At 40.4% G+C, this 10599-nt stretch overlaps 1 pseudogene; it reads left to right on the top strand.

The window, feature by feature from the left end:
- Nucleotides 9972-10368, top strand: CYCSP43 (CYCS pseudogene 43; annotated as a pseudogene).

Genomic DNA, 10599 nt, shown 5'->3' with positions numbered 1-10599 from the left:
GCGTAAGGAAGGAGCTCCATCCTCCACAACTCAGTGTGAAGTCACGGTCAGACTCATCTCCTGTTATCAGTAGAGCTAAGTATAGAAGGAAGCTGAGTAGAGGTCTTGAGGCAGTAAATCTGGGCAGAGCACTAGAGTCCAAGTCACCTTGGACACTGACCCATGTGTGACCTGGGACTTTGGGCCCAAGGAAAACCTGGGTTTCCCTGGCTTGGGGGCTTCTCCAACAACCTGCTCCTCTACTGCCTCTGTGTTGGAGGGAGGGCAATACTCTGGCATATGCCCTCCACAAAGCCAAAGCACTTCAGCTTTGTGGCTGTCCTGTCTGCTGGAGGATCTGTGGTTCTCCTCCTGTGGCTTGGGTCCTGGTCCAGTGATCTCGCAGTTGCCTCAATCAGCTCCCACTCTCTTCATAAATCAGCACTTTGGTATTTTAAAACAGCATTAACTTTGGAATCAGGCAGGCCTGGGTTTACAACCCAGCCTAGCACTTCTGAGCACAAAGAATCAGAGCCAGTTTTCCTATCAGTTAAAAAAACGGGGAGAAATAGTTACTTCGTAAGGTTGTTGTGCAGAAAAAATGTCATGATGACCTTAAAGTGTCTTATATATGGTCCTCAGTACATATTAGACCTCCCTGAACTGTTCTTTGTTGGAGAGAATAAGCCCTCCCTTTTTCTTCTCTCATGATGTCTTTCTATTCTTTTATGCTGCCTGAGACACATTCACCAGCAGGTTATTAAGTCTGGTTATCTGCTGGGAGGAAACTCCCAGAGGGGAAGATTTCTATGTATAGCAAAGGCTTGTGGGTTGGGTGCTCCTCCTCATTCCCCAGGGTGAACATCCTCTGAAATACAGATTCCTCATGCAGAGAAAAGAGGCCTGCATGCCCTTGCTTCAGGGATGGGTTGGGTGAAATGTGGGTGGGGGGATTAGAGGGAGATGATCTCCCTCCAAGGAGTGCAGAGGAAAGAAGCCTAGCAGCTTCCAGTGGCCATCGTAGAAGGGATCAGGAGATAGAGCCCAACTTCCAACTATCTGGAAACTTTGGAAGGTGGATCCTTTGTCACTTTACATTTATTCCACTGTAACAATTCACCAAACCTAGTATGTGCAATATGTTGCTTTTGTTACTTCTGTCCTGTTTTGCCTTCATGATGGCCAGTAGAGCCCTTTACCTGAGGGTTATCTTCAGAATTATCTTTGGGGGAGGGCCAGGGCAACTTTTTCTCACTCTTGACCCAGTCCAAAGGAGAGATGTGACCCACCCAAAGGGATAATGTGTTAATGGCAGCTTTCAGGATGGAAGTCTCTAGGCCTGCAGGAAGGAAGCCAGGAAACCACTCGAAGTTCATCTGACCCTGACACATGGGTATGGAAGCGCAGGAGGAAAAACAGTGAGGCTTCTCCAGGACATTCCTCAGGGATGCTCAGCACATTCACTGGTTGGTCTAAACTAATATCTGGGTTTGTTTATTCTATCAGGTATGTGGTCTCCAGAGTGGATGGCATCTTGAACTCCCAACACGTCAGTTAACAGGCTCCCTCTTTCTTCTCTGAAGTCTGAGCTTGCTTTTGGACTCTCCCAGTAAGGCCTTGTCTTTCTGGAGTTTTTCTGGCTTTCAGGCTCATTTGTAGAATGTAGATAGCCATTGTTTTCTGAGTTTTGTAACAAATCAAGCTAGCACTGGTTACCAGCCTCACCCTCTTCCCCAAGAAATCACTGATGACTCACCCTTCTTGTGTACCCAGGGGGAGGATGACACTCTTCCCTGAATCCCTGAGTTGCATTCTTACAATATCCGGATACCCTAAATTCATGGACCATAAAGGTAAGAAGGTGGTTCTTCCAGGCATTAAAGGCCAGCATGATGGACATGGAAAAGTTATTGCTAGGGTGATCTGGGGCAGAAGCTGAGGTAGCTGTTCTGAACAGGAGTTCTAGGCTAGGAGAGGTCAGCCAAGAATATCAAAAGTGGAGAAGAATGTATCTATGTGAGAATCAGTTAGGGAGGGAGAGATTTCTGTGCATACTCACAGTAAGGACTGAACGAAATTATATGTAAATAACTGCTCTCTTCCCTTACTATGCTTTGGACTTGTCTATTGTGGCATTTTGGGTCTTCAAGGCTGCCCTACTGTCCTGGAACCTTTCCTCTTTTTGGACTTCTCTGACTGCTTTGGAACACCCCCTCCCCACATTGGGCCAGGTCTGCGCTGGCCTGCAGGGAGGTAATGCTGGCCTGGGACTGAGCAGACTCGACATGACTCCCCGCACAGACCGAAACCTTTTAACCCAGGAACGCCTAGTCCAGGCTCCAGGTTTTTTAACTGGCCTCTGCTGCCCCCACATGGTAACTGAGGTTATTTTTCCTCACCTGAGGTGACTTCTGATGAAAGGTTGTCAGAATCCCAAATTTCTGGCCACTTTCTCCAGCTCCTTATAGCCACCCCCACACTCTCTGCAGTGCTTCAGGAATGTTGCTCTGTCTTGAGACAGGCAGGATGAAACTCAGTCAAATCTTGGGACTGATGAGGTTCAGGGTCATGACTGGGAGGTGGTGCTGCTCACCAGCTCATCTGGGGATGTGGGAAGTCATAGGAGAAGGAAGGGGTTCAAAACACTGGAAATAGGATGACTTCTCTTACAGGCTCAAAAATCATCAGCCTGAAGCCCCTAAGATCCCCAAGCAACCATGTCAAAGTCTGAGGAGCATGACCCTTCCCAAGTTATTCCTCGAAGCTAATCCAGAAACCATGACTCAGCTTCTATTGCTTTGCCTGGTAGCTCTGATAGGTCAGAGGTGGCCCAGACTTTCCACCCTCTGGGCCTTGCACACCTTTGGACATTAAGGCATGGATGGAAAAGGAAGCAGGATTTTGATCAGATACAAAAGATGTAGGCTTCCCCCACAGAGTCCAGGGAAGTGTCCCATTGCTCTCAGAGAGAGTACCACTCTACCCACCAAGCCAGAAAAATGGGGTCCAAGGCCAAACTTGATGGCCCAGGTAGAGGTAAGAAAAGAGGTTTAGAGGGTGTATGCCTCTCAGACTATGAACTAGAAGAGTGAGGTTATTACCAGCATCCCACCTACCAGCTTAAGAATCTGGTGGGAAGATGTCTCCTAAAAGTAGATCTAGTGACTTTTGTCCTGGGCCCCAAGTCCAGCCCTCAGCATGCTGGGAAACTGCTGCTCATCCTCACTTTGGGCTTTTTTCTCTGAATATCCCTTCTATAACTCCTTCATGTATCTGAGACCACTATCTCATCCCAGAGGCAGAGCAAGACCTGTCTAGGGGCTGAGTCAGAAATCTGAGAGTCATAATTGAATTCCTGTAGGTCTTTACATGTATTATTTCATTAATCCTTATAAAAATTCATGAAAGATGGGTTGTTATCATTTTTACAGGTGAATAAACCAAGGAAGGCTCTGAGAGGTGAGATGATTGCCCAGGATCCCACAGCTAGTTCTTGGAGGAGTCTCTTACCCATTTATCTGGCTTTAAAGTCGGGATTCTTACAGACTATTACTCTGCCACCTTTTTTATTGCAGTCCCTTCTCTCCCTGATCCTTTATATCCAACCAGATGCCAAATCTATAGATTCTATTTTATAAATATCTCCTAAGTCTGCTCCCTCCTTTCTCCCTCTCTTCCCCTCCCGTCTTCCTCTCTTCTATTTCTCCTCTCTTCCTTTCTCGAGTCACTTGTCTCCTGTATCCTCTCTTAACTGAGGTAAAATTTACATACAGTGAAGTGCACATATCCTAAGTGTACAACTCAATGAGTTTTAATGAATGTGTGCTCTCTATTTCTACCACTTAAAATCAAGATGTAAAATACTTCCATCACACTTGAAAGTCTTCTCATTTTCACTTTCTCTTAGTCCTTGGCCCACACAGGCAACGATGGATATGGTTTCTGTTGCTGTGCATTAGTTTTCCTGTTCTAGAATCTCATATAAATGAAACAACACAGTATATACTCTTTGGGGTCTACTTCTTTTGGTTTTATGATATTTTGTATATTCTACATATTTGTTTATCAGATACTTCATTCTCTTTTTTGCTGACAGCTACATTGAGAGGTAATTCACATACCACACAATTTATCCATATAAGTGTACAATTCAATGATTTCTAGTACAGTATATTCACAGAATTGTATAACCATCACAACAATTGATTTTAGAAAGTTTTTATTATCCCAAAATGAAACTCTATACCCCTTAGTCATCACCCTCCAGCCACAACCCCCGTCTCCATCCCTAAGCAACCACCCATCAATCCACTTTTTGTCTCTATAGATTTGCCTATTATGGACATTTCATATAAATGGAATCATATAACATGTGGTCTTTTGTGGTTGATTTCTTTCACTTAGCATAATGTTTTGAAGGTTCATCCATGTTGTAGCATGTATCAATACTTCATTCCTTTTTATGGTGAATAATATGCCATTGTATGGATATACCACATTTTGTTTCCACTTTTGACTAATATGCATAACGCTGCTATAAATAATCATGTACAAGTCTTTGCATGGACGTATATTTTCATTTCCCTTGGAAATATACCTAGGAGTGGAAATGTTGGGTCATGTGGTAACTCTGTGTTTAACTTCTTGAGACACTGCCAAACTCTTTTCCAAGTGGCTGCAGCATTTTGATTCCCAACTGAAGCATATGAGGTTCTGATTTCTCCACATCCTCACCAACACTTGTTAATATCTGACTTTTTGATTATGGCCACCCTATGGTTGTGAAGTAATACCTCATTATGGTTTTGAATTTCTTTCCCTTTTTTATTGCTGAATAGTATTTCATTGTATGGACATACTACAATTTGCTTATTTATTCTCCTGTTGATGATGGACATTTGGGATGTTTTTAATTTAGGACTATTATAAATAAAGATGCTATAAACATTCTTGTAGAAGTCTTGTTGTGGACATATATTTTTATATCTTTGGGGTAAATATACAAGAGTAGAATTGCTGGGTCATAGAGTAGGTATATGTTGAACTTTACAGGAAAATTCCAAACTCCTTTTCAAATCATTGTATCTGCTACCATGTATGAAAGATCCAGTTGTTTCACATCTTCCCTAACATGTGGTATTATTAAACTTTTTCTTTACCATTCTGGTTGTTGCTTGGTGGTTTCTTGTGGTTTTAGTTTGCATTTCTTCAGACCAAAGATGTTGAACACCTTTTATCTGCTTATTGGCCATTTATGTATGTTTTTCTGTGAAGTATCAGTTCAAGTTTTTTGCCCATTAAAAAAAATTGGGTTGTCTGTCTTTTCGTTACTGATTTATATAACAGGGTTTCTTGATATAATACTATTGACATTTCGGGCCAGATAATTCTTTGTTGTGTGGGGCTGTCCTGTGCATTGTAGGGCTTTAAACAGCATCCCTGGCCTCTGCCTACTAGATTCTACTAGGAAAATACCCACTCCAGTTGTGACAACCAAAAATGTCTTTAAACATTGTCAACTGTCCCCAGAGAACAAAAATCACCCCCAGTTGAGAACCACTGACTTATAAGGATTTATATATTCAGGATACAAGTCCTTTGTCAGATATATTTGTTGTGAACATTTTCTCCTAGTCTGTGGTTTACTTTTAAATTTTCTTAATGATATCGTTTGAGGAGCAGAAAGGTTAGATTCAGATTAAGTACAAGTTAGTAATTTTTCTTTTATGTTTAGAACTTAAAATAATATAACATTTCTTTTATGTTTGCAACCTAGCACAATATCTGGGAGAAGGCTCTCATTATGGTGGGATCCTCCTGGCTACCAGTGCCACCTGCTGCTTGGTATGAAAGGGAATCTCTTGCCCTGTGGAGAAGAACAGTGTTTCCTAGCCCAGTGCTTCTTGCAGCATGATCTCCCTGTCTATGAGAGACTGAGAGTTCCTCCAGCTCCAGACAGGTCATTTCAATGGAATTTTCCCTGCTGATGCCCCTGGACCAGCCTGTCTCATATCTCTTGGTGGGGCAGGGGAGTGTCAGATCATGGAGACAAAGAGGTTTCCAGTTCCAGGTTGTTTGATATGGTATGGTCCCCCTTGCTGGTGCTTCCAGTTGCCCATTGTCTCTCCCTGAAAGAGGGGATTCTTGGACATAGTGAAGCAGGAGAGGCTTCCTCTGGCCACATATTGTCAGAGGGAATCCCCACCGATTCCCCTTGCCAGTGCTGCCAAGTTCAGCTGGGGTTGTCGTTGGGAATCCTGTTCCATCTGGGAAAGAAATGAATCTACCTGGGCTACCTGCTGCTAGGTTGAGGTCAGTTGCTGATAGGTCTGGGTCTATTTCTTCTGTTGGGTGGGTGATCTTTAGATACCCTGCTGTATCTTTCCTCAAGTCCTTAGGTCCCTAACTAGTTCATCATCCTCTTTTCACCTTGCAGAGTTATCTTTTGGTTGCCTCTTGCATTGTTTCTAGGATTATAGTTGCATCCAGCAGGGAGAGAATAGATGAATGAATCTATACTATCATTCCTGAACTGGAAGTCTAGATAAAATTTTTTAAAGAACCAAGTAAGTTTCCCATTAATAAAAAAAATGTAATTGTTGATTTTAAAATTTAATGGGCGGGTTAAGTAGCAAATTAGATAGAAATAAAGAGAAAATGCATTATCTGAAATGCAGATCTGAAGAAATTGCTCAGAATGCAGCAGAAGCAGAGAAAGAGATAGGAATTGTAAAGGAGAAATTTAAAGATATGGAAGACAGAATGAGAATATATAATTGCATTTCTAGATGGAGAGAATGGAGAAAATGAGAGAGAAGTAAGATCCGAAGAATAATGGCTGATAATTTTTTTTTGTTGATGAATGACATGAATCTTTAGATTCAAGAATTACAACTGCCCTGCCAATCCCAGGCAGCACAAATACAAAGAAAGCCTCACATAGACATATGGTGGTAAAAAAGATAGAGAATATCTGAAAAGAAGCCAGACAAAGATGATGGATTATCTCCAAAGGAATGACTCATAAACAAAGAGAAGACTTCTCAAGACTGCTCTTCTCAAGACTGCTCTTCTGACTTTGTGAAGACTTCTCAAGAATAGTACTTTCAAAGTGCCAAAGGAAAATATCTGTCAAGCTAGAAGATTAGTCTTTGAAAAGCTAATATTTAAAAACAAGAGCCAAATAAAGACATTTTCAGAAATGTAAAATCAGATCCTCACTAACGGATTTTTAGAATAATCTCCAGAAGGAAGAATTAGATGAAAGAAAAAATAGTGAGCAAAGAAATTTGTGAAATTTAGATAAGCATAAACAACCATTACCTATATGAAACAATAAAAATAGTGACTAAGTTGGGGGAATTTATAAAAGGGTGGAACTAAATTACTTATTAAAGGTAATAAGTAAGTGGGGGAGAGGTGGTAGTGATGGGCATTAAAGCATTAGAAGGTCTTTGTATCACTTAGGAGAAGATAGAGATATCGATTAAACTTGGTTTATTTAAGTATAAATGGTAACATTTAAAGGTAACTATTAAACGAATAGAAATAACAGACTCAATGCAATACCTATCAAAATACCAATGACATTATTCACAAAAATAGAAAAACAATCTTAAAATTTATATGGAAAAGCAGAAGATCCCCGATACCAAAGCAATTTCAAGCAAAAAAGAACAAAGCTGGAGGTATTACAATACCTGACTTCAAAATATACTACAAAGCTATAGCAACCAAAATAGCCCAGTACTGGCATAGAAACAGGCACATAAACCAATGGAACAGAATAGAGAACCCAGGAATGAACCCATGCATTTATAGCTCACGGACTTTTGGCAAAGGCTTCAAGAACACACATTGGGGAAAGGGCAGTATCTTCAATAAATGGTGTTGGGAAAACTGGACATACACTTACGTAAGCATGAAACTAAACCGCTATCTCTCACCATATATAAAAATCAACTCTAAATGGATTAAATATTTAAATGTAGGATCCCCAAACTATGAAACTACTAGAAGAAAATATGGGGGAAGTACTTAAGCCCAGACATTGGACTAGGCATGGATTTTTAAAATAAGACCTCAAAAGAACAGGCAACAAAAGCAAACATAGACAAATGGGATTACATCAAACTTAAAAGCTTCTGCACAGCAAAGGAAACAATCAATAAAGTGAAAACAGCAGTCTACAGAACGAGAGAAAGTATTTGCAAACCATGCATCTGGCAGGGAGTTACTACCCAGAATATATAAGGAACTCAACTCAATAGCAAAAACAAAACAAAACAAAAACAAATAATCAAATTAATTTTTGCCATTTTTGGCAAAAGACTTTAATAAACATCTCTCAAAAGAAGACATACAAATGGCCAACAGATATATGAAAAAATGCTCAACATCACTAATTATCAGAGAGAAATTAAAATCAATCAAAACCATAATGAGATATCACTTCACCCTAGCTAGAATTGCTGTTGTCAAAAAGACAAAAATTAGCAAATGCTGGTGAGGATGCAGAGAAAAGGGAACTCATACACTGCTGGTAGAAATGTAAATTAGTACAGCCACCATGGAAAACAGTATGAAAGTTCCTTTAAAAATTAAAAATAGAACTACAATATGATCCAGCAATCCCATTACTGAGTATACATACAAAGGAAATAAAATCAGTATGTCAGAAAAAGATATCTGTACACCCATGTTTATTGCAGCATTATTGACAATAGCCAAAATATGGAATCAACCTAACTGCCCATTTGACGATGAATGGATAAAAAAAAATGTTGCACACACCCCCCCCCACACACACACTATTCAATTATGAAACAAAATGGTATCTTGTCATTTGTGGCAACATAGATGAACCTGGAAGACATTACACGAAATGAAAAAAGCCAGGCACAGAAAGACAAAAACTGCATGATCTCACTCATATGTGGAATCCAAAAAAAAAAAATGATTTAATGGATGTAGAGAGTAGAACAGTGGATACCTGAAGCTGGGGAGAGGAGACAGGGGTTGGGGGTGGGGGAAACTAGAAGAGGCTGGTCAATGGGCACAAAGTTATAGTTAGACAGGAAGAAAAGTTCTGGCGTTCTGTTACACAGCAGGGCGACTATAGCAAATAATAATGTATTGTATTTTTTGTGATAACTAGAAATGAATAGGTACAATGTACACTATTTGGGTGATGGTTACACGAAAAACACAGACTTCACCATTATGTAATATATCCATGTAACAAAACTGCACTTGCACCTGCTAAATCTGTAAAAATTAAAATTAAAAATTAAAAAGAGGCTGGGCGCGGTGGCTCACGCCTGTAATCCCAGCACTTTGGGAGGCCGAGACGGGCGGATCAGGAGGTCAGGAGATTGAGACCATCCTGGCTAACACGGTGAAACCCCGTCTCTACTAAAAATACAAAACAATTAGCTGGGCGCAGTGGCGGGCGCTTGTAGTCCCAGCTACTCGGGAGGCTGAGGCAGGAGAATGGCGTGAACCTGGGAGGCGGAGCTTGCAGTGAGCCGAGATCTTCCCACTGCACTCCAGCCTGGGCGACTGAGAGAGACTCCGTCTCAAAAAAAAAAAAAAAAAAAAAAATTAAAAAGATAGCCAGAAGAGAAGATTTTGAATGTTGTCACATATTTATCAGAAATGATAAATACGTTTAAAGTGATGGATATGGTAATTACCAGTTTCATCATTATACTATGTATATATGCATTTAAACATCACATTGCAACCTATAAATATGTGCAATTATGTGTCAATTGTAGATTATAATTTTTTAATTTTATTATTTGTCTATTGTAAATTTAAAAGTTTTTGAAGAATAGCAAAAGCATAAAACATAAAACAGTAAAAGGAAAAACAGAAAAACAAAAACTAAAGTACTTGTAAAAAAAACAGAAAAAGAAAAAAAAAGATAAAAATCAAGGTAAATATAAAGCATTAAAGTAGATGATATGACTAAATGAATAGTATGTCAGAGAGAGGGCAGGACGTCTGGCTTCCCAGCGGGAACCTTCATAGTGCCAGCAATAAAAGAGAGAATTAAATGTGGGTGATGTTGAGAAAGGCAAGAAGATTTTTGCTCAAAAGTGTGCCCAGTGACACACTGTGGAAAAGGAAGTCAAGCACAAGCCTGGGCCAGACCTCCATGACCTCTTTGGGTGGAAGACAGGTCAGGCTGTTGAATTCTGTTACACAGATGCCAATAAGAACAGAGGCATCAACTGGGGAGAGGGTACACTGATGGAGTATTTGGAGAATCACAAGAAGTGCATTCCTGGAACAAAAATGATTTTCACTGGCATCAAGAAGGCAGAAAGGGCAGACTTGAGAGCTTATCTCAAAAATGCTAATGAGTAATAACTGGCCACTACCGAAGGTCTTTTCTGCACCTATTGAGATAATCATGTGTTTTTTGTCATTGGTTCTGTTTATGTGATGGATTACGTTTATTGATTTGCATATGTTGAACCAGGCTTGTATCCCAGGGATGAAGCAAACTTGATCGTGGTGGATAAGCTTTTTGATGTGCTGCTGGATTCGGTTTGCCAGTATTTTATTGAGGATTTTCGCATGGATGTTCATCAGGGATATTGGCCTAAAATT

This window comes from Homo sapiens, chromosome X, assembly GCF_000001405.40.
Source record: "Homo sapiens chromosome X, GRCh38.p14 Primary Assembly".
Lineage (NCBI taxonomy): Eukaryota > Metazoa > Chordata > Mammalia > Primates > Hominidae > Homo > Homo sapiens.
This window is presented reverse-complemented; position numbering and strand designations above follow the sequence as displayed.